General features: G+C 44.6%; 1 protein-coding gene across 5 annotated transcripts in view, besides 10 other annotated features; it reads left to right on the forward strand.

Moving 5' to 3' along the window:
- Positions 11,180-12,105: an enhancer, noted in NCBI's record as "NANOG-H3K27ac-H3K4me1 hESC enhancer chr21:38737611-38738536 (GRCh37/hg19 assembly coordinates)". NCBI's record gives its function as "activates a minimal SCP1, AML or CMV promoter by ChIP-STARR-seq in naive H9 embryonic stem cells {active_cell/tissue: H9 hESC(naive)}" and the evidence as "EXISTENCE:reporter gene assay evidence [ECO:0000049][PMID:30033119]".
- Positions 11,444-23,358, forward strand: part of DYRK1A (dual specificity tyrosine phosphorylation regulated kinase 1A) — a 160,786-nt gene continuing 148,871 nt past the window's right edge. For 2 of the 5 annotated variants that reach the window (NM_001347721.2, NM_001347723.2), the window contains exon 1: positions 12,644-13,499. The gene's annotated coding sequence lies outside the window, so the exon portion shown is untranslated. Of the gene's footprint in view, positions 11,706-11,943; positions 12,057-12,643; positions 13,500-23,358 lie in introns of those variants that run through there. The other 3 variants (NM_001396.5, NM_001347722.2, NM_101395.2) reach the window with 3 other exon arrangements.
- Positions 11,637-11,716: an enhancer, noted in NCBI's record as "active region_18450". NCBI's record gives its function as "activates an Ori minimal core promoter by ATAC-STARR-seq in GM12878 lymphoblastoid cells {active_cell/tissue: GM12878}" and the evidence as "EXISTENCE:reporter gene assay evidence [ECO:0000049][PMID:35858748]".
- Positions 11,857-12,036: a silencer, noted in NCBI's record as "silent region_13301". NCBI's record gives its function as "represses an Ori minimal core promoter by ATAC-STARR-seq in GM12878 lymphoblastoid cells {active_cell/tissue: GM12878}" and the evidence as "EXISTENCE:reporter gene assay evidence [ECO:0000049][PMID:35858748]".
- Positions 12,067-12,376: a silencer, noted in NCBI's record as "silent region_13302". NCBI's record gives its function as "represses an Ori minimal core promoter by ATAC-STARR-seq in GM12878 lymphoblastoid cells {active_cell/tissue: GM12878}" and the evidence as "EXISTENCE:reporter gene assay evidence [ECO:0000049][PMID:35858748]".
- Positions 12,957-13,106: a silencer, noted in NCBI's record as "silent region_13303". NCBI's record gives its function as "represses an Ori minimal core promoter by ATAC-STARR-seq in GM12878 lymphoblastoid cells {active_cell/tissue: GM12878}" and the evidence as "EXISTENCE:reporter gene assay evidence [ECO:0000049][PMID:35858748]".
- Positions 12,957-14,146: a biological region, named in NCBI's record as "NANOG-H3K27ac-H3K4me1 hESC enhancer GRCh37_chr21:38739461-38740385".
- Positions 13,030-13,954: an enhancer, noted in NCBI's record as "NANOG-H3K27ac-H3K4me1 hESC enhancer chr21:38739461-38740385 (GRCh37/hg19 assembly coordinates)". NCBI's record gives its function as "activates a minimal SCP1, AML or CMV promoter by ChIP-STARR-seq in naive H9 embryonic stem cells {active_cell/tissue: H9 hESC(naive)}" and the evidence as "EXISTENCE:reporter gene assay evidence [ECO:0000049][PMID:30033119]".
- Positions 13,297-13,376: a silencer, noted in NCBI's record as "silent region_13304". NCBI's record gives its function as "represses an Ori minimal core promoter by ATAC-STARR-seq in GM12878 lymphoblastoid cells {active_cell/tissue: GM12878}" and the evidence as "EXISTENCE:reporter gene assay evidence [ECO:0000049][PMID:35858748]".
- Positions 13,617-13,756: a silencer, noted in NCBI's record as "silent region_13305". NCBI's record gives its function as "represses an Ori minimal core promoter by ATAC-STARR-seq in GM12878 lymphoblastoid cells {active_cell/tissue: GM12878}" and the evidence as "EXISTENCE:reporter gene assay evidence [ECO:0000049][PMID:35858748]".
- Positions 13,867-14,146: a silencer, noted in NCBI's record as "silent region_13306". NCBI's record gives its function as "represses an Ori minimal core promoter by ATAC-STARR-seq in GM12878 lymphoblastoid cells {active_cell/tissue: GM12878}" and the evidence as "EXISTENCE:reporter gene assay evidence [ECO:0000049][PMID:35858748]".

Here is a 23,358-nt window from a genome sequence, read left to right on the forward strand (position 1 = left end):
ACAATAAAAGGGGGAATTCAGCAGGAAGACATAACAATTATAAATGTATCTATATCTAATAATGAATCTTCAAAATATAAAAAGCAAAATTTGGCAGAAATTAAAAGAGAAACAAGCAAATCCACAATCGCAATTGAAGTAAATCCACAATTTCTCTCTCAACTGATAGAGCAAGCAAACAAAAATCAGTAAGGACACAGAAAATTTTAATAGCACTATTAGCCAAATTGCCCTAATTGACATTTTAAAAACTTTCTGCCTAACCACTAAAAAATACACACTGTTTTCAAGTGCGCATGAAACATTCACCAAAATAGAGTATACACTGAGCCATAAACTGAGTCTTAACACATTTTGAAGTGTTGAAATCATACAGAAAATATTCTCTAAAAACGATAGAGTTAAAGTTGAAATCAGTAACAAAAATTAATATCTTAATTTGAATATTTGAATATTATTCAGCATATTCCTAAATAACCCATATCAAAGAAAAAAGCACAGTTAGAAATATTTTGAATTACCAGCCTGGCCAAGATGGTGAAACTCCGTCTCTACTAAAAATACAAAACTTGGCAGGGCGTGGTGGCACGTGCCTGTAATCCCAGCTACTTGGGAGGCTGAGGCAGGAGAATCACTTGAACCCGGGAGGTGGAGGTTGCAGTGAGCCGAGATCGCGCCACTGCACTCTAGCCTGGGCAACAGAGCGAGACTCTGTCTCACAAAAAAGAAAGAAAGAAATATTTTAAATTGAAATAATAATTTAAAAATAGTTTAAATACAACATATCAAAATGTGTAGGACAGAGCCAGAACAGTGCTTAGATGGAATTTACTGCCTTAATGAATAAACTGGAAGAAAAGTTCAAAGCTATATATATTTCCATCTGAAAATGCTAGAAAAATGAGACCAAATTTAACCCAAAGAGAAAGAACCTTTATACAAACTCCTTCCTCCTCCCCACTCTCTATCAGGCATTCCAGATCTATCACAAGCTGGGAGGGTAAGTGACAAAAACTTCAGGCCGTTGATCTGGGATTCCCCCAGATGGGGTTCAGGGGCCTCTTCCTTCTTACTCCAGAATTTATCACGTTATAGTTTCTTTGACCCATTTGGTCTTCCCTACTGGTCTTGGACGTTTTCAGGACTGGGGTCCAATCTCAACCATCTTTGCATCCCCAGCACCGATCAGAGTAACTGACACAGTGCAGACACTCAACGAGTGCATGTGGTATAAATGAATAGCTATGCACTTCACTGCAGGTAACCTGTGACTCAACTGTAGAAAGATTTTACAGGTTATGGGGTTTGAGAGAATGGTGACTGCATCCACGAAGGCACCGTCTAAGACAGCCGGTTTTGGGAAAAGGTGATCTCTGGTGTGACAAGTTGAGACCTCTGGGCTTTTTGTTCCATTTGTTTTGGTTCTCACTGTCTTGACCTCCTTCTTGGAAAACCCTTTAACATGCAAAATTGCGAGTGGCACATGATACTTGCTTTTCTCTCTCCAAGGCAAATAATGTCAGTCCCTTTGGTGATCCAGGGATCAGAAACTAGACTACGCTCTGATAAGGACATCACCCGTATGATGGAAGGATTAACTCCTGGCCATTCTATTTTAATTTTACTGGCTTAAAAATACTGCAAAAATGGTGAAGCTGTTGTTCCTTCTATACTTATGTCCCTTTAAAGGGGATGTGTCTTTCTCTTGCTGTTGGAGCTGGTAACTATTAGGGACCTCTGATTAATAGCCCAGACAAGCCAGGTGTGGTGGGGCACGCCTGTAATCCCAGCACTTTGGGAGATAGAAGCAGATGGATCATTTGAAGCCTGGAATTCAAGACCAGCCTGGCCAATGCGGTGAAACCCCATCTCTACAAAAAATACAAAATTTAACTGGATGTGGTGATGAGCACCTGTGGTCCCAGCTACTTGGCAGGGTGAGATGGGAGGATAGATTGAGCCCAGGAGGTTAAGGCTGCAGTAAGCCATGATCGTGCCACTGCATTCCAGCCGGGGGGGACAAAGCTAAATCCTGTCTCAAATAATAATAATAATTTTAAAAAGCCCAAAGTGAAACATACAGCAAATGTCCTTTGTAATACGGAGTAGAAATCAAGCCATAGGAAGCAGCTGAGAGAAGGTTTAATGAGATGGAAGGATGCGAGAGTGCTTTTCAAGTACTTAGGCAAGTAAAGAAGAAAACAAATATTTATTGAGTGCCCACTGGGCTCCTGGTACTCTGAGGCTATTTGCTACACATATTAATTTCTGAAATGAGAAGTAGGAAGAAGCCTATTTTGTGATATTCTAAAAATTAAGGTCTCAGGTCATTAGGTAAAAATTACAGGGACACGGGGTCTATTTTTTCTCCTGATTACCAGTAGTTGATTATACAAAATTTGAAAAACAAGCACAAAGAAGACAAATTATCACCTGTGATTGTACCCTCCAGAGATAAATGTTACAAAAATTTTTTATTATATACATTGTTTATTATAAAGTTGAAGTCATGCAAAGTATACTAACTGCTGTAATCATTTTTCTCATGTTGTGAAATATTCTTCATTTTGTGTTCTATTTCCACAAGTCGATGAGCTATATTTTAAAATTGAGGCTCCACCGCTGGACACTTAGGTTGTTTCCAAGGTTTCACTTAGTGATGTTATCAACAGGAGTCATACGAGGGTGGGGGCTGGTCTGGGGAAACATACTGGATGAGCAAGTGAGAGAAGAAAACGTGTTTAGCCTGGGAAAGTCACAGCTTGCTTCAAATGTTTGAAGGTTGTCATTTGAAAGAACAGTGAGACTTGGTCTATGTGGTCTCAAATGGGAAGATTTAGAAACTGGGTGGAAAGCCTGGGAAGAAGATCCATTCACAGAATGCAAAGGCAAATTTCCTGTAGTTGAGGGTGACCAAAGAAGGTCTGGGCAGCTTTAGGAGGTAGTGAGTTACCGGTTGGTGAAGACATTCAAATATAGGCAAAGAAAAATAATAACTTACAGGAATATAATGGGTTAAATGTGTTTACAGCAGAATGACCTGAGTGTTTTGAGAACACGGAAGATGTTATTTATTTATTTGAGATAGAGTCTTGCTCTGTCGCCCAGACTGGAGTGCAGTGGTGTGATCTCGGCTCACTGCAACCTCTGCCTCCCAGGTTCAAGCGATTCTCCTGCCTCAGCCTCCTGAGTCGCTGGAATTACAGGTGCCCACCACCACGCCTGGCTAATTCTTGTATTTTTAGTAGAGACGAGGTTTCACCATGTTGGCCAGGCTGGTCTCGAATTCCTGGGCTCAAGTGATCCACCCGCCTCGGCCTCCCAAAGTGCTGGGATTACTGGCATGAGCCACTGCGCCTGGCCTTTCATTTATTTTTGAAAGGGGAAAGGGTCTTGGGAAAGGCTTCAAAAGTTAAAATTTGAATCGAATCAAATCCTCTTATTCTTTACATCGGGGCCCAATATTTACACAATGATTTATAGTTCACAAAGGATTAAAGACTTCCCTTAAAGGATGAGGAAACAAATTCAGAGAGGGTAAGTACACTACCCCAGTTCCTGCGGCAAGGAGGTAGTTGAGAATCCCCCATGTTCTCTGTCCCAACAGAGAACTCTTGTTTCCAGTTGCTATTATTATTATTATCAAGCTCACCAATCCCTTCTAAAACATCCAGACTTGCAAGACATTGTCTGTGCCCTGCTTCATTACAATAAAATGAAAATGTCTCCAATGACTAATGTGAACAAAATGTCAGTGTTGTCAGGTAAGTTTTCCTGCATGGAAATTCCATTCCCTTTCTTTCCCACAGCAGCCACTGGATGATTAGAGTTTATGATAGGTAACGATTGGGCTCCCCTCAACTCCAGCATCTATGTGTGAGTCTATGATGTCTCTGCTTGCCTTCTGCTCAGGGCGGGCCTCCTTCCCTGGTGGTCTGAGACCCGTGAATGAAGGTACTTCCCACATTAGCCCTATGTCTCACAGATGCCTTCCATTCTGTCAACTCAGGACCCTGGAAAGCTGGGCTTCCATCCTCCACTCTACCTGTGCAGCTGCAAAGTTCGTAGTCCACGAATGTGTTCCTGTTTCCAGCATCTACCCTGAACCCTGGGCTCCACCCCAGTTCTTCTGGGCTAGACAAGCTAGAAGGAAATGTGGAGGTCCCCTTTTGGCTACAGGAGTGGGCTGTCACCACCCTCAGGAAACCAGCTCCCTTCTGCCCCTGCTGAGGTGTCCCTTCCCACCCAGCCTTTCTAGCAAAAGCAAATCAGAAGGTCTCTGTGCCATGACCTACCCCATCCAAAAGGCACCCTCATCCAGCACTCCACTAACGCCACCTCAGCCATCTGTGGGGCTGACAGCCCTCCCACCGAACAGCCCTCCCTATCTTCAGGAAGCCAGCGTCCAAGCTGGGAGCGAGAGGAAGGCCGGATGCAGATGGTCCCTCTTTCAACTCCAGAGTGAAGTGTAGTTCTCTTGCTTTTAACCATTTCCTGGATTTAATTGCTTGCCTACTCCATCCTGCCCGTGCTGTTTTGCAATTCTCTGGTGACTCTGTTCTTGCAAAAACATTCATTTGGTGATCAGTAGATACCAGGCACTGGGCGAAGCACTGAGAATAAAAATTCCCAGGGAGCTAGGTTTGTACCCCTGGAGGGTTCCCTTTTCTCCTAGTGCATGGAAGAAGAAACCTACCGTGAAAATACAGTGATAAGTGACTTGACAAGGGAATGAGGCTTTCCTGGAGACAGCAGAGGAGATGAGAAAGAATGGGTTGTGTTCTGGGAGTGTAAAGTGGTGGACCCTGAGCAGAGAAGGCCTGAGAGGTCAGATCATGAAGGGATTTGGCACCAAACTAACATGTAAGAATGTTATCCCCAAAACAAAAGCTTAAAGTCCTCTAAGCTTTTCAGTGGGCAATGATGTGATACCCAACTGTAGAGTCCCATGAAGCCTTGAGGAACCGGGTGAAGGACAAAGGAGTCCGGGAGGCTGGTGGGAGGCTTGGACTGTTTATTTGACTCTTTTCTGTTCTGTTTGGATGTTTCAACCATGTACTTGATTATTTTTTATCTTGAAAACAAACAGGCCAGGCACAGTGGCTCATGCCTGTAATCCCAACACTTTGGGAAGCCGAGGCAGGTGGATCACCTGAGGTCAGAAGTTCAAGACCAGTCTGGCCAACATGGTGAAACCTCATCTCTAACAATAATACAAAAATTAGCTGGGGGTAGTGGCGCATGCCTGTAATCCCAGCTACTCGGGAGGCTGAGGTAGAAGAACTGCTGGAACCTGGGAGGCGGAGGTTGCAGTGAGCTGAGATCATGCCACTGCTCCAGCCTGGGAGACAGAGCAAGACTCCATCTCAATAAATAAATAAATAAATAAGAAAACAAATGGTCATGGCTAGGTGTGGTGCTTCATGCCTGTAATCTCAACACTTTGGGAGGCTGAGGTGGGAGGATAGCTTGAGCCTAGGAGTTTGAGACCAGCCTGGGCAACATGGGGAGACCCCCATCTCTACAAAAAAAAATAAAAAAATTAGCTGGACATGGTGAGGCATACCTGTAGTCCTAGGTACTCACGAGACTGAGGTGAAAGGATTGCTTGAGCCTAGGATGTCGAGGCTGCAGTGAGGCATGCTTGTGCTACTGTACTCTGGCCTGGGTGACAGAGTAAGATCCTGTCTCAAAAAAAAAAAAAAAAAAAAAAACCAAAAACCAACCAACCAAACAAAAAACTCCAATCCTAACCAAACCAAACTAAATCAAACAGTATTTATAATATTCCAGATATGGTGCTTGTGACACAAAGATGAAAATACAGGATGCTTGCCCTAAAAGCACTTCTAGTTTAGAAACAGACATGGAAATACAATATAACAAAATAGTACTAATGCTATAACAACTATAAACATATTTTGCATTGAATTGAAGCAAAAATAGGAAAAATGTTGAAAATGATAGCAGTAAGTGTGCAGATCAATAAATACTGTAGAAATATTAAAAGATGTTCACTACATACTTAGATTAAAAAGCCAGGAAAATAAGCCAAAACTCTCAGGAACTATTGAGCTAATGAGCCAATGCAGAAAGTTATCTTTGTAGAACTCTGTGCCTCCTGCCTAATTTTAAATTCCATTACTTAATTGTTTTTCACAGTTTCATTAGGGCATTTTCCTCAACCTGTTAATTTTGAGGAAGCTAATATATACGTATGAATCAATATACAAAAGTGGATTTCTTTTCAAGTCTTGCCAAAATGTTGCAAAATACGATTTTCTTTTTTTTTTGAGACGGAGCCTCACTCTGTTGCCCAGGCTGGAGTGCAGTGGCGCCATGCTGGTTCATTGCAACTTCTGCCTTCTAGGTTCAAGCGATTCTCTTGCCTCAGCCTCCGGAGTAGCTGGGACTACAGGCACCTGCCATGACACCTGGCTAATTTTTGTATTTTTAGCAGAGACAGGGTTTCACCATGTTGGCCAGGCTGGTCTCGAACTCCTGACCTCAATCCGGCTGCCTCGGCCTCCGAAAGTGCTGGGATTACAGGCGTGAACCACCAGGCCCGGCCGCAAAATATGATTTCAAGATATTCTGAAACTGTGGAATACACACTTTAATAATTACATATTTACTATTTAAGCTTTATCTTAATGTCACAAGAAAAGAAAATGTTAATGGCAATTCATAAAATAATATTGGTAAACATGCTTACATGATAAGGAAGGCAATGAATATTGTCCTCTCTCTCTCTCTCTCTCTTTTTTAATGGCACCATGAGAACCACATCTTGACATAAACAACTTTGTAACCTTAAGATTCTGGGAGAGAGTCCTTGGTTGCAGGTGTCTGGTTAAGAGGAGGAAGGAGGCCAGGAGCCGTGGCTCATGCCTGTAATCCCAGCACTTTGGGAGGCCATGGCGGGTGGATTACCTGAGGTCAGGAGTTTGAGACCAGCTTTGCCAACATGGTGAAACCCCATCTTTACTAAAAATACAAAACTAGCCAGGCGTAGTGGTGCATGCCTGTAACCCCAGCTACTTGGGAGGCTGAGGCAGGAAAATCATTTGAACCCGGGAGGTGGAGGTTGCAGTGAGTCTAGATCGCACCATTGCAGTCCACCCTAGGCAAAAAGAGCAAAACTCTGTCTCAAAAAAAAAAAAGGGGGGGGGAAGGACAGTGAGAGCAAGAAAGGCGTCGGGCTAGCCCTACTTGGGAGATGGCTAGGAGAATGAAGATGGCCACAGACACATTGACTGGGGTGACATTCATGTATCAATCTAACAGCATCCCATGGCCTTCCATTTTTCTTTTTTTTTCTTCCTGTTTCTTTTTACAGTAAAATCTCAAAAAAGAAATCAATTAAAAAAAAAAAGGCTGGGCGTGATGGCACACGCCTGTAATCCCAGCACTTTGGGAGGCTGAGGCAGGCAGATCATGAGGTCAAGAGATCGAGACCATCCTGGCCAACATGGGTGAAACCCCGTTTCTACTAAAAATACAAAAATTAGCCGGGCATGATGGCGGGCGCCTGTAGTCCCAGCTACTCGGGAGGCTGAGGCAGGAGAATCTCTTGAACCTGGGAGGCGGAGGTTCCAGTGAGCTGAGATCACACCACTGCACTCCAGCCTGGGCCACAGAGGGAGACTCTGTCTAAAACAACAACAACAAAACCAAAACAAACCACAAACAAAAAACCAAAAACCCCAAATACTTCTCTGCTTTCCCAAATAGGCATCAGATAGATATACACAGGCAGGGCACAAATACACAACAAACATATTTTTAAAAAGTCACAAAATGTCCAAATAAATGCAAATAAAAATAAGAGGGTGTGGCAGGGTGTAGGAAAAAGCCATTGTCACACATTACTTTTAGGGAGTGCATATTGGTGGAATCACTTCTGAGGAATATTTTGGTAACATGAATCAAAAGCTTTTTAAGGACGCATACTTTTATCTGAAGGAGATAATTGGACAGGTGTGTAAAATGGATGTAGGACATGTTTATACAACTTTATCTGTAGTAACAACAACAACAAAAAGGAAAAACTTCCTTAAAAAATAGAGGAGCAGGTAAACAAATTATGGCCTATTCAACTGATGGAATACTAGTAGCTGTTAAAATGATTATCTAAATTTCAGTTGATTAACACTAAAATGTGCTCATAGTATAATTGTAAGTAAAAACGGCATGAAACATATCTGCAGTGTTGTATGTGGGTGAATGTACTCATGTCTCCCTAAGAAAATCTGGAAGGACATATGCTAATATGAAAATACCAATAAGGTTTTTTTTTTTTTTTTCCTGGGTGATATCTACGAGTAATCATTCCCTCTTCATTGTTTTCCATATTGTAAAATCGTCTGTAATGACCATGCATGACTGTTACATTTTGTTTTTGGACCTTAGGTACAAAGAATTAAGAATTAACTCCTCGGCCAGGCGTGGTGGCTCACACCTGTTACCCCAGCACTTTGGGAGGCTGAGGAGGCAGGATGGCTTGAGTCTAGGAATTTGAAACCAGCCTGGTTGACACAGAAAAACCTCATCTCTACAAAAAATACAAAAAGTTACCCAGGCGTGGTGGCATGCGCTTGTAGTCTCGGCTACCCAGGAGACTGAGGTGGGGAGGATTGCTTGAGCCTGGGAGGTGGAAGCTGCTGTGAACTGTAATCTTGCCACTGCACTCCAGCCTGGGCAACGGAGTGAGACCCTATCTCAAAAAAAAAAAAAAGGAAAAAAAAAAGAATTAACTTCTTATTTCATAGCATACTACCATTGTCAGTTTATAGAAGGCCTTTTTCTTGTTTTAATTAATTTTGTTTCTTTGTAATCTGTTTTAGATAACGAATTACCTTAAAAATAAGAATAAACAAGGCCGGGTGCAGTGGCTCTCACCTGTAATCCCAGCACTTTGGGAGGTCGAGGTGGGCAGATCAATTGAGGCCAGGGGTTCGAGGTCAGCCTGGCCAATGTGGTGAAACCTTTTCTCTACTAAAAATACAAAAATTTGCCAGGTGTGGTGGCGGGCACCTGTAATCCCAGATACTCAGGAGGTTGAGGCAGGAGAATCGCTTGAACTGGGGAGGTGGAGGTTGCAGTGAGCCGAGATCACACCCCTGCACTCCAGCCTGGGTGACAGAGCGAGACTCTGTCTCAAAAAAAAAAAAAAAGAAAGAACGAACGAACAATAAAGTTTGTACAAGGGCAGCAAGTGAAGACTTTTACCCAGAAGTCTGTAAGAACAGTAGGGGTGTCAGATGCCACGCCATGCCACTGTCTAGGGACCAAATGCAAATTGTTCACCTTCTCGCTTGGCGTGAGGAGCATTGATAGGAATACTGGTTTGCTTGTTTGTCCTTGGAATATTTATTTGGGTTATAACTCTCAGCGAGATTCCAACTACTGGACTTTCAGGCTTAGAATAGTGCCTCACCAGGAGTGGTCACTAACGGATATGAAGCCAACCAAAAGAAACCACCATCTTGGCACGCATCTGTGTGTTAGTTTCCCTTAGTGCCACTACAAAGTACAAACAACTAGGTGGCTTAAACAACAGAAATGTACTGTCTTGAATTTCTGGAGGCCAGAAGTCCAAAATCAAGATGTTGGCAGGGTTGGTTCCCTCTGATGGCCGTAAGACAAAATCTGTTCCATGCTTCTTTGTCAGCTTCTGGTAGCCTCAGGTGTGCCTTGGTTTGTAGATGGCCACCTTCTCCTGGTGTCTGTACGTTCTTCCCTGTGTTCGTTTGTCTTGGTCCAAATTTCTCCTTTTTATAAGGGCAGCAGTCATTTTGGATTAGGGTTCAATCTAGAGACCCAACTCGATTACCTCTGTGAAGACTCTAACTCCATATAATCTTGAATCATCTTGGTGTGGTAGAAAGAACATGGGCTTTGCAATTATACCTGTGTTTGAATCCTGGCTTCACCACTTACTGGTGAGTGGTGACTGCCTTGAGAAAGTCATGTAATCACTCAGGACTTGTTTTCTCATCCACATAATGGGGATGTAATGTTGCTGTGAGGATTAGAGATACTCTAGAACATGCTGGGTAAGTGGAGGCTGTTACTACCTATGAGCTGAGGGCCTTTGCTTTTCAAGGTGAACAGTCTATGAATAAACACATCTGTAAGTGAATCTAATGGGAAGATTCTTAGATGACAAGGATTTCATCTGTGAACCAGGTCAGCTGGCATCTATACCAGAGTCCTTCCGGCCTACATGTGGTCACTTGTTTGGAGCCAGCTGTAATTCACAGGTTACGTTTTTAGGTGAAGCCTGTATAAAACCATTTTACAGCATTCCAACCTGGATATGACATTCATTGACCAATGTTGTCTAAGGCTGTCACACTGGGGAGAAAAGGGGTGCAGCCTTCTAGATACGAAGACCAGCAATGCCTTCTATACCCGCATGTTTATAATCTCAAGATTCTGCCCCACTCCGATATCTTCTAGGTTGATTTGAACTGAAGACAAGGACACATATCTTGAGACATTATCATATTCTGTTCAGGTTACCTGGAAGATTAACTATACAAGTTTCTTCCATTACCAGGAATAAAAATTTGAGTCAAATTTAATTTAGTATTAAAGGTTGCAAATGCTGATGTGCTCTGATAGAAGCGAAAGCTTGGTGAATGGGGTGGGATGGGGTGGGGGCAGGAAGGAGACCCACAAGCAGAGAGGAAGAAGTTGGTTGTATAGGTGGAAGCTTGAGCTTGGGAGGAACCAGGTAGGGACCTCTCCTCTGAATAAGGGGCGCTCTGGGCCACTTCCTCTTTCTTCAAAACAATTAAGTTGACCGTGGACCTTAATCACACTAGCAGGGCAATTTTGAAACAATAATCCGAAAGAACTTTTGCCAGCTACGGCAACTTTTTTATATCATGGAGATCAGCCTGAAAGCAAGCTATTTGCCCGACCACTTTTTGACCAATTTATTTTCGGTTTAGTCAGGTTTCTTCCAAGTCTGTGCTAATCTGAATGGTTACCTTAGTAATTACTTTTTGACTAATTTATTTTCGGTTTAGTCGGATTTCTTTCAAAGTCTGTGCTAATCTGAATGGTTACCTTAGTATATCAATGTCCTAGTAACTGTAGCAAGGACATTTTTGCTGGAAATCATTTAAAGCAGGTGTATTTGAGTCATGTAGCATAGACAGCGGCATTTACTGCGAGTTTTTTACATCTAATATTGTTTATAAGATTTTATCTGTTGTCACATTTGTGAAATTTATGAAAAAAATTGGTTACGAACACTATCACAAGGTGGCAAAATCAAGCTTAGAAATCAATTAGTGACTCTGCTGTAAAATAGTATATATATACACACACACTCTTTTTAGGTATACATTTATTAAATGCCATTAGAGTTGGTACAAAATACAATTTTTAGCTGGTGGCTCTCTACCGATTACAACGCAGCCAGCACAGCATACTTGGGTTTTCAAGCCTCGGGAGCTCACCCAGCAATACATAGCTAGGGAGAAGGGGTAGGGAGAATAAAAATCAGCGAAAGCCAGGATATTAATAAAGAGTTTTGATGGTTAAGGACAAGCAGGCGAATTAAGACTCTGGAAACCGAGAAGGTGTATAGAAAAGAAAACCAGAGAGCTGGACGACAAGGACACAGTAACAGCACAAGGGGATTCATCTAAAGGGCATTCCGATGGAGCAGGCAGGCTGCGCCCCGAAAGGTGGGGAGAGGTTGGAAGCAGATGGGCAGGCACAGGCGAGCGTGCACTGCCTGAAAAAGTTTTCATGATGGCTCCAGCCTAATTTCCCAACGCTGGTCTCGGGCGCCACAAAACCTGGGCGGCCCGACCGGAGCCAGGTGCCAGCCTCAGGGCCGCCGGGCCCGGCGCAGCGTCCGGAATTCCTGCGATGTCTGGGGCGCGGCGGTGGCTCCTCCCCGCCCCCACCACGGCCTCCGCCGGCATTTTCCGGCTAGGAGGCCCGCCAGCCCTTCGAAGAACCGGCTCCACGCGCGGACGGTCGCGGCCGCCGCGCTTCCCGGGGAGAGAGGCGAGCGCGGCGCCCGGACCGCGGTGAGAGCCCTCCAGGCCCGGGCGCGCGGGGTGGGCTTCCCGGGTCCCCGCCCGAAGGCCGCGGCGCCCCTCCTCCTCCCCCTCCCCCGCCCGGGGCAGCCCGCCCCTCCCCCCGGCGCGGGCGGGGCTGCGGGCGCCGACGCGGAAGCGCGGGGCGCTAGGGCTGCGGGGGCGGCGGCGCGGGAGGCCGCGCGCGCTCCCCGGGCCGCAGTCGGCGCGGGCGCGGGGCGGGGCGGGGCGGCCGGGAGGCGGCGGGCGATCGCGCACAGGCCTGGCCGCCGCCTCGCCCCCCCTTCCCCAGCCCCTACCCTCCCTCGGCCTAGCCGTCCCCCTCCTCTCCCCTCCCCCGGGCGAATCACGCGCCCTCCTCTGACACTCGTAGCGGACCCGAGCTCCGAATTTATCCTTCACGTGACCTGAGGGGGTTGGGTGGTTGGCTGGGGACAGAGGGGGAGACGGAAAGGAGGGAACGGAATCTGCCGTTACCTGAGCAACAGGCCCCGCCCGCCGGCTCGGGGCTGGGGGGCGGGAGGAGGACGTCAGCACGTCAGCCGGGGTTTTGCGTTTTGATTGACAGTTGCTATAGCGACCGGGTCGGTCCGTCGCCATTTTGTTGGTTGGTTTTTTTTTAAACCCTTTCGCTTCCCGCCCGAATAATAATAAAAAGCCCCATTGGAGTGAGGCGGGGGTGGCGGCGGCAACCGCGGCGGGGGTATCCGGGGAGACTGCTGCTGTCGCTGCTGCTGATCGCGGCCCAGGTCGGCCTCAGAGAGCGGACACCCCGAGCGGGGGGTGCGGGCGCCGCCGCCGCCGCTTCTGCTGCTGCTGTTCCTGCTGCTGCTGTTGGTGCCGCTGCCGCCGCCGGCGAGCAGGCGGGACCGGTGTGAGTGCGAGTGTGTGTGCGAGGGAGCGTGTGCGAGGGCGATTGTGCGCGCGAGTGTGCGGGTGTGTGCGAGTGTCTGTCTGTCTGTGCGGGGACTCGGGGGCGGGCGGTTCGGGCTCTCCTGGCGGAGGAGCCGCCGCCGCCGCCCGGGCCCCGGCGCTTCTCGCTGCGCAGGTTCGGAGCGCGCGCCATTTTGTGAGATTTACAAAATCCTCCTCGGGAAGAAGCCGCCGGCAGCAGCCGCCGCTCGGCGCCCGGCCTCGCCGACGCCGCCCTCTGCGCCGGGCCGGCCGTGCGGCCCCGCCGCCTGGAATCGGGGCCCGGGGACTGCGGTATTTGCCGGGGAGGGGGCTGTCGCCTCCCCGGCCCCGGGCGCCGCTGGAACCGCGAGCCGAGGAGAGACTGAGCAGGCTGCGGCGCGGCCAGGAGCCGGAGCGCCGGGGGCGGAGAGAGGCTGCCGGGGCGGCGCTGGCTGCGGAGGCCGCGGCGGGAGCGCGGCGCGGGAGCCCGAGGCTGAGACTCACCGGAGGAAGCGGCGCGAGCGCCCCGCCATCGTCCCGGTGAGTGTCCGGCCCGGCCGCGGCCCCGCCCGGCCTGGCGCTCGGCTCCCCCGGCGGCCCGCAGCCGGGCCGGAGCCGAGGCCGGCCGGGCGGAGGGAGGGACCTGCCATTTTAGGAGGAGGCGCCGCGGGCCCAGGGCCGGCCGCCGGGGGAGGGAGCCTCAGGCCGGGTCCCGGAGGAGCGGCGGGCGCGAGCGGAGGGAAAGTTGCGGAGGGTGGGAGCGGGGGCCGCGGCCTCCCGGGAGCCGGGGCCTGGGGGGCCGTAGACAGCGCCAGACCTTCACTGGCCGCCCGAGCGAAGGGGTGGAGGTTGTCTTCCTCCTCCTCCTCCTCCTCTTCCTCCTCATCCTCTTCCCCCAGCTCCTCCCTCGTCCCTCCTCTCGGTCCCCACCAGTGTGGGAACCGCCGGGGTGATTCGCAAGGACAATGCACGGGTTAAGAAAATGGGGCCGGCTGCCGGGTGGGCGAGGACGGCGGGGCCGGGCCGGGCCGGGCGCCGGCGAAGGTCGGGAGCCGCTGCCTCGGCGGCCCTGGGGGTCCGCGCTGGAGCGAGGGGCACTCACTGGCCTCCGAAGTTGGGCGGGGAGCGCGAGTGTCCCCGGCGGCTCGGGGTGGAGGGATGACCTGCCCGGCAGCCGGGGGAGTTGGTGGCTGAGGAGAGGTGAATTAGAATAGATACCTGTGTATCGCCACAAAACTTCACCAGTCTATTTATAGGCACAAACCCACTCTCGCTTCGGAGCCACCAAAGCTGCTGAGTAGCTCAGTACTTGGCGAAAGGCTCCTCCCTAATCTGAAATAGTTAAAAATGGTAAAATTAGTGAGTCAGTGACTCTGGTTACTTGCCTGTGCCTTTCGCCCAACCCTAGGTGACACGAATCCCATAATCTGGGCACAGCGCAGGAATGCTAGCACCATTTGGTTCTTGAATTCCGCCCAAATTGTCAGAAAATACGCCTTAGAACGTTGTTTTCACAAGTGCCAGGCTCTGTTTTTAGGGTTTTCAGTGGATCGACCAGCTTGCCCAGCCGGTAGGAACTGTTCCCATTTTATAGATGAGGAGAGTGAGTCTGGAGAGGGGCACTGACTGGTCTAAGGTCATACAGCTGGGACTCCAGGAGCCAGAAGGCTGTAGCCAGTCTGGAGTTGTGAATCATTAGGGTGTAACTCATTATTAGAAATACTGGCAAATTTTGGAGTGATTCGTGTTTAATGACTCAGGGTTCTAACCTAGAGATGTGTCCCCGTAAGGTTTTTAGCGTGGAATTACCTTTGTGGCTTGCCGAGGCCAAAAGGTAAGGTAATGGTGATGAGGCCTGTTAATAAACTTTTCAGGCCTTTCCCCCCCCAAGAAAACTATGTAGTCAATTTTTGAATGAAAGGAATTAAAGATATTCCTTGATGTGTTTTGTACTTCAAACAATTTTGATTATAGTCATTTTTTGAGTATTGATGAGTCATAAGAAAGTTTTGTGTAAAGTTATTTTTAGTTATTCTTTGAATGCTTAAGGGTTCCTCTGTGACCCTTTTATAGTTTATGTGTCCAAAGTATTAATGAATATATTTAGCATTTTGATTTTGAGGTGTTTTAATAACTCAGGGGAATTACCTTTAGCTTTTGTGTTGTTTAATTTCTCATGTCTTGATCAGTTACTTTAGGATAATATTGTTTTCAAGTAGACTTTTAAAAATGTGAGACCAGAACTAAAGTTTCATGTGTTAAGGTTTTAAGCTGCAGAAGATCATTTCAAAGAAACTGGTTATGAAAAAAGCTTACTTGATTATAGTCAAGATTTTTTACGCATACTTCAGGTATCCCAGTACTTTGGAGGATTTTCCCTGGTATAGCAGTGGTGTTTATGGTAGCTGTCCAAATTTATTTATACTTCAAACCATGCCAGAAAGTTAAGGATTTCTGTCAATGTCTACACCTAGTTCTCTTGTTAAGACTAGTAAAAAGTTCTCTTGTAAAAAGTTCATTTTTACCTCGAGAGGCATAAGCTCAGAGATTATTGCAGGAGGAAGGGTCACCCCTTGTGTTTGCGCCATGAAGGCACACTCCTTTTTACCTGGTGGGTGTTGAAAAAATATTTGAAGGAATAGACCTGAATGAATGGTAATTATTGGTAGGGGTGGGAAATGGACTAAATGACCTAGTGAGATCTTTGTTTTGAGATCTAAGTATAAGATCATCTCTTAAACCTTTTAACAATATTTTGGTGGAACCTATTAGAAACTTAACACATTATTGTGTGCAAGATATCTAAAAATAAGTCCAGTTTTTTAGAGGCAGTAACATTTAAGATAATTTAAAACATTCCATATTAGTGTAATGTCTTGTTAGGGAATGTGGACAGTAAAAACGACCATTTGTTAAATTTTTTTTCCCCTCCAAAATATTGTCTGATGTTTGCTCCTTCGTGTTACTTATGGAGAGTTACTGTTTATGACTTAAAGATATGGGGGTGGAGAGGCCTAGGTAACTGCAACAATGTATTTAGGTAATTTACATTAGGTTTTTAGAGGGCTATGACTATCTGCAAAAGGAAAATTCAAGATACCTTGTTATAAACATGGTATACAGTGACCTTTGGCATGCATTTTGTTTTGTAACTACACGAAGTGTTAATTTGGATTGAATCTTTGTTTTCACTTGAAAACCTTTTTTTTTTTTTTAAGAAATAGCTTGGAAATTTAGGCTGCCCTGAGGTGTTTTCGTGTGTCTGTTTATGGTTGACAAGTATCTAGTTATGAGAAGAAAATGTGGATAGAATTAACTGTATTATAGGCGAGAAGGGAATTGCCTTATAATCTTGTGCCACTGAACACAAGATTAGTAGAAGAGTGGGCTTCACTTGTGACTTTCTTGGTATTTGTGATTAGGCGTGTGCCAGTTTGTCTTTGCTTTGGCATTAGCTTTCCTCATATTTGAGAAGGCTTTCACGTTTCCTGTACACACACAGGAAGCAGTTTCACCCCTCCCCAAGAAAAAACTTATCTAAACCCAGCAAAACCCAAAAACTTCCAGAAAGTCTTTATCAAGAATTTAGTTCCTCATCCCCAAAGTTGTGTTAGTCTTATTTTGTAGTAATCATAAGCAGTTATTTAAACTGAACCAAGAATCTTTACTTTCTGTTGAGTGTTTTGGTGATTTTACCTCCATATATGTTCGTCTATTTTCGATTTAGAAGTAAAGATATTACGTGAAACTATTAGTAATGTTTCCTGAAACTTGATACTAACAGTTTGCTCTGTGAAAGTGAATTGTGTGACCAGTGTAATAGCACCTTATGTATATATGGTGGTTTTGCCTTTTAAAAGACTTTTTACCAGATGTTATCTTGACTGTTGGGCAATTTTCTGATGGCTAGAGAGGTGGTAATTTATGACCCAAAGCTTGCTCAACTTTGGATTAAAAAGTTTGGAGAGTTAAAATTTGTGTTTAATTACTTGGAAAAATCAGCAAATTATATTAAATTACCTAAAATTTCTCCTCAGTTGCTCCCAAATGAAGAAAGCTTTTTGAAATCTTGCCTTATGTCAGTGCTACAATTTTAAGCTAGAGTTGTAAAGTTTACCATAGAGTGTTTGAAAGTGAAATGTAGACTTCATGTGACTAAAATAATCATTGAAGGTTCGTTCATATTGGGTAATTGAAGAAAGATCTTATTTGTTAATACTGGCTACCAGCAGCCTTAGTTTGATTATTATTTTTTTATATGGAAACAAAATGATTTGGAAATATTGCACTGCGTAAGCCAGCTAGGTATTTAAAAAGTTAAGCTTTTGCTTTGAAATCCTACTTCCAGAGTACTAAAACGAGTGAGAATTGTTTATTGGTGATAATACCCTACGTTGAACACGTGAAATGGTGTGGTTTCTTTTGGGCATATATGTTTTGCTAATGTAGAACCATTTTGGTGTCTTGGCAATTGGTTCTTATACCAGAGCTATGTATCTTCTCTTCTAGAAAGCGATATTTAAAAGTTTGTATTACTGTTAAAACTAGGTTTTGACAAGTTACATAATTTTTTTTTGGTTTGGGGCAGATGCTCATATCTGATACATAGTGAGTAATAGCTTAAAATGTGTCTTTGTTCTTGTCAGTGAATATTCTTGTTTTATCTCCCCATGTTAGAAAAGTTTGTTTTAATTGATTTTTGGGGGGGGCCCAGTGAACTGGCTTAACATAGAATGAAACTGGCTTTCAGCATCAACTCTATTTTAAATAACATCCCTGTTCATTAAATAACCCCCTAATTTTTCTTGAGTGTATAACATTTCCAATGACAAGATTTGATTTTTTAATTTTTAAAAAAGCTTTCACAAAAAGCTTTTCCGTATTATCATTATCTATATTATTTGATAATATAGAGCCATTTCGACATCTTGGCAGTTGGTTCTTCTACCAGAGCTATGCATTTTCTCTTCTGGGTTTTTCACAAAAGCTTTTGCATGTCCGTAAAATGTTATGGACATGTATGGTTAAGGCTTGCATCTTGGCACCCATGTATTTGGGTAAAAAGATGCTTGAGGCCTGGCGTGGTGGCTCACACCTGTAATCTCAGCACTTTGGGAGGCCAGGGTGGGCGGATCACTTGAGGCCAGGAGTTCGAAACCAGCCTGGGCAACATGGTGAAACCCTGTCTCAAAAAACAAAACAAAACAAAAAAAAAACAGGTGTGTTAGTGCCACCTGTAGTCCAGGCTACTCAGGAGACTGAGGTGGGAGGATCAGTTGAGCCTGGGAGGTGGGGGGTTGCAGTGAGCTGAGATTGTGTCACTGCACTCCAGCCTGGGTGACAGAGTGGAGCACTGTCTCAAAAAAAAAAAAAAAGGTTTGAACTGTGACATCTGTCTGTCTGCTTGCTATCCAGTTATAGACAGCAGTTGAGGCAGCATGATACTGTGGAAAGATCCCCTGCCCATGAAACCATGAACAGAGGCTCCAGAATCTGGCTGATCTGAGTCTCAACAGGTTCTGTTGGCTGTGTGACTTTAGGTACAGTGATTTCACCAAACATCAGTTCCCTCATCTGTAAAATGAGGTTGATAGTAATTAGCATAGGAATCTTGTGAAAATTGAGATAATGCATGTACATTTCTTCATGGATTTCTTTCTCCTCCTTTTTTCTCTCCTCATCTTCATTCATGCTCATTCTGTGATCCTAGCATAAATATTTTCTTCAGAGAGGCCTTCCCCAAACCAGGTAGTCTTCCTTGGCCATGCATTCTTTTTTTTGGCCAAGCAGGACCATTTGTTTTTCTTTGCAACCCTTACTGCAAATATGATTATTCATATATGTTCTTATATATAATTGTTCATTAAATTTCATTTAATATAATTGTAAATTTAATTTCTCCATTAAATTTTAAAGTCCATTTGGACAGGAAGAAGTTTTTCTTGATCATGGCTGTAACTCCAGTGCCTGGCACATAGGGGGTTTAGATTCATAGAATGATAGAATGCGGAACCTGTATGTTGAATCCTTCCTGACTACCACTCCTTAGCCATGTCATCTTGGGCAAAACAGCTTCTCCTCGCTTCAGTATCCTGTATGCCAGATATAGATAGCACCGGCTGCCCTGCCCAGGATTTTGAGAATGTGAAATGAGACACTATAATGAAGTGCTGAAGTGTAAAATGCCATATAAATATAAAATGGCACAGTAGCAATAATCTCAGTAATGGGGTTATTCAGTAGGAAGCTCTATTGTGACTTAAGAGTATAGAATTTTAGCTTTGCTGAGTTGGTTGGTAGCTAATATTTAAGAGTTACGATAAATTTAAGCTTTCTTATATGTACCAGTTAGAATGTAGATGGGCCTGTTTCTGACTAAATACAGTGGCTTAAACGAGAAATTTATTTTTCCTTCATAAAACAACAGTATAACTTATCTAAGGCTGATATGGTGGCACCACGATGTGAGGGAGCTTGGTTCCTTCTGTCTTGTTGCTTTCCTGTGCTTACCATTTTCTTCATAGTACAAGGCAGTTTCTCACTACATCCACAGTCCAGGAATAGGATTTTGGGAAGGCACATTCCATCCCTTTAAAGACAAACCTGGAAGTTGCATACATGATTTTTCTTCATACCCTATTGGTCATAACTTAGTCATGTGGCCATGTTTAGATACAAAGGAGTCTGGGATATGTGGTCTTTGATAGGTGACTATTTGGCTGAAAATTTGGGTCTACTGAAGAAGGGGAGAATGGGGGATGATTAAACATTGCCTGTTACACTTCAAAATGTTTTGGGAGAAGCTTCCAGAAATAGACTTTGAAAATACAATGGATTGCATTAGTTAATAAGTTTATTTTCTGTATTTAATCATTAATTTTTTAAACTATGGTATGTGAATTCAAATAGACCGTTATGCAAAATATAAGTAAGTGGTCAGATTAGAAAAATGTAGCTATACTTTTAGTAGTGAAGGGATTTTGGGTCTAATAACAGTTATTTTACTGACGCTTTATTTTCTGATAGAAACATGGTTCTTGATTGCTGTGCTTGTATCACGTAAGCAATATTTGAAATCTGAGCTTTTGCATTTAGTGTTAATAGTCCACTGGACCAACTGAATGTCTTCTTGCTCATACCCTCAGCAAACAATGCTACAATAACACTCGCATGTTGTCAGGATGTCATAAAGATTTGAGTCACCGAACACTGCAAGAAGGATGATAGCAGAGATATTTAAACGTACATTTACTATCTAGTATGTTCCTCTTGAATTCCTGTGGATTTGAAAAAAGAGAAATATAAATATCTAAGATTCCCTTAAACTATGAAATATTATTAGCTCTAGTACAGACTTGGGAAAACTAATGGTTCCCAAACAGTCTTCTGGAGAACTTGTCAAAGTTAAGAGATTTCCAAGCTCAGATGCCTCTCTTTCTGTAGGTTTAGAGTGATGCTCTGGAATCTGCTTTCTTTTTTTTTGAGACAGAGTCTCGCTCTGTCGCCCAGGCTGGAGTACAGTGGTGCGATCTCGGTTTACTGCAAGCTCCGCCTCCTGGGTTCACGCCATTCTTGTGCCTCAGCCTCCCAAGTAGCTGGGACCACAGGCGCCTGTCACCACGCCTGGCTAATTTTTTTGTATTTTTAGTAGAGACGGGGTTTCACTGTGTTAGCCAGGATGGTCTCAATCTCCTGACCTCGTGATCCGCCTGCCTTGGCCTCCCAAAGTGCTGGGATTACAGGCTTGAGCCACTGGGCCTAGCTGGAATCTGTTTTCTTAAGGACTCCAGGTAATCCTGATGCAGTAGGAACATTTTGAGAAACACCAATAAAGTTCATTTCTCACATATTAGAGAAGGAAGTGGGTGCAGAGAAGCTGAGTGACTAATCAGTGCCTCAGAATAAGCAGGCCTGGGACTAGCATTGTTTTTCCTGACTCTTCGTTCTTTGTTCTTTCTACAGAAGAGGGAATAAAGGACAAGGTGTACAGAGTGCAGTGGGATTTTATAGGAATAGTTATCATCTTAAAGTAAGTATGTGGCTTTTAATGTGGGAGCTTATGTCTAGTGAATGGTTGGCCCAGTTGTCCTTTTTGCCCTATAGAAAAATAATGTGAATATTTAAATACTCAAGTGAATGTTTAAAGGTTAAGTGAATATTTAAAGGTGAAAAGCTGAAGGTTTTAAGTAAGGTTTTGTTAGTATCAGCACTATTGTGGGCAATGTATATACAGCATTAGAATAGATGTATAGGCAGCTACTTACTTGACATGATTAGAAGGAACAAAGGTAGTTCTTGTCCTCAAATTACTACTTTCCTTTTAGGTTGCTTGTAATTTTCACTGTTGGAATTCATTTCATTAGATTAAGATAAAATCTGGAATTCTCTAGTTTAAAATTTTAAAATTAGAATATTCCTAGAGGAATATTACTTTTTTTTTTTTTTTTTTTTTTTGAGATGGAGTTTCACTTTTGTCACCCAGGCTGGAGTGCAGTGGCACAATTTCGGCTCACTGCAACCTCCGCCTTCCGGGTTCCAGCAATTCTCCTGCCTCAGCCTCCCGAGTAGCTGGAATTACAGGTGCCTGTCACATACCCGACTAATTTTTTGTTATTTTTAGTAGAGACGGGATTTCACTATGTTGGTCAGACTGGTCTCCAACTCCTGACCTTGGCCTCCCGAAGTGTTGAGATTATAGGTGTGAGCCACCACACCCAGCCCTGGAGGAATATTCTTTACCTGTTATGAGGTTAACACTTTATTTGTATCAGTTATTATTATTAGATCTAGCCTGAAAACCCATAGCCCTAAATTGGAACAGGCATGCCTGTTTTTGCACCCAAAAGTTGCCTTTTGGCCCGCCAAGCCCCCCTCTTCCTATACCAATATAAACCTGAAACCGCAGGCCCCACAAGCAGACGAGGAGATGAAGAACAGAATGACAGAATGGCTTGGCAGAGAGAAGAGAGAGTCTGAGTGCTGGGAGGAGTTCCACTGGGAGTGGTCAAAGGGGAGAACAGCTGCTTAGTGCAGGTGTCAGTCCAGAAATCAGAATGATGCCTGCACTAAGAATGTTTTGGAAAGGAGGGAAGAACACAGTCCATGTGCCCTTTACTGAGAAAAATGAAGGGTATGTTTAGGCCAGGCGCAGTGGCTCATGCCTGTAATCGCAGCACTTTGGGAGGCCAAGGCGAGTGGATCACGAGGTCAGGAGTTCGAGACCAGCCTGGCTAAAATGGTGAAACCCCCATCTCTACTACAGATACAGAAATTAGCCAGGTGCAGTAGTGAGTGTCTGTAGTCCCAGGTACTTGGGAGGCAGAGGCAGGATAATTGTTGGAACCCTGGAAGCGGACGTTGCAGTGGGCTGAGATCGTGCCACTGCGACAGAGTGAGACTTCGTCTCAATTTTTTTTTTAAGGGTATGTTTAAGAAATATCACCTTGTGGTATGGTCATGGGAAGGTTCATGTGAGTATTCTCTGGTGGCCAGAGGTTGGTAGTGTTAGCTTGCTTCGATGGCTTCCTATCACTGAGAGTGTTGGTAATGGCACTGTGGGTAATTCTGCCTAGGACCCTGCGCTTGATTAACTACTGGACTAGAGGGAGTGTCCCTGTTTTCTTACTGTCTTATTTGTTAGGGCCCGTATTTGAGCAGTGTTATCAAACATATAAGGTACGGTTCTGATCATCTAGGATATTCTAGTTTTTAAAGAGATCCACAAGTAGTATATAGTTTAAAAAAACAAGCTCTGTGGAATGATAGCAGATCATTTCCCCCTTCTCATGTTCCATAATAATAACTGTTCAGTTTTTCCTACCAGAAATGTATGCATGTGTATATATACACACACAATTATATATATTATACTTTTAGTATGTATTGTGTTAGAAAACTATGTATGATTCCATTATTTTTAAGTGCATAGACAGGTGTGTGTGTGTGTATGTACACAGTGTCTGTGTATTTAAAATCCAAACCAAATGGGATCAGACATACTAAACACACAGTTTTGCAACTTAAGCTTTTTATTTATTTAGTTAGTTTTTGAGACGGAGTCTCGCTCTTTCCCCAAGGCTGGAGTGCAGTGGCGCAATCTCGGCTCACTGCAAGCTCCGCCTCCTGGGTTTACGCCATTCTCCTATCTCAGCCTCCCGAGTAGCTGGGACTACAGGCCCCTGCCACCACGCCCGGCTAATTTTTCGTATTTTTAGTAGAGATGGGGTTTCACCATGTTAGTCAGGGTGGTCTCCATCTCCTGACCTCGTGATCCGCTTACCTCGGCCTCCCAAAGTGCTGGGATTACAGGCTTGAGCCACCGTGCCCCGCATTTTTTTTTACTTGACCTATGTTAGAAATATTTCCATGTCAGCTCACAGAGCTCCCATTTTTTAAAATT

Source organism: Homo sapiens, chromosome 21, assembly GCF_000001405.40.
Source record: "Homo sapiens chromosome 21, GRCh38.p14 Primary Assembly".
NCBI classification, from domain to species: Eukaryota; Metazoa; Chordata; class Mammalia; order Primates; family Hominidae; genus Homo; species Homo sapiens.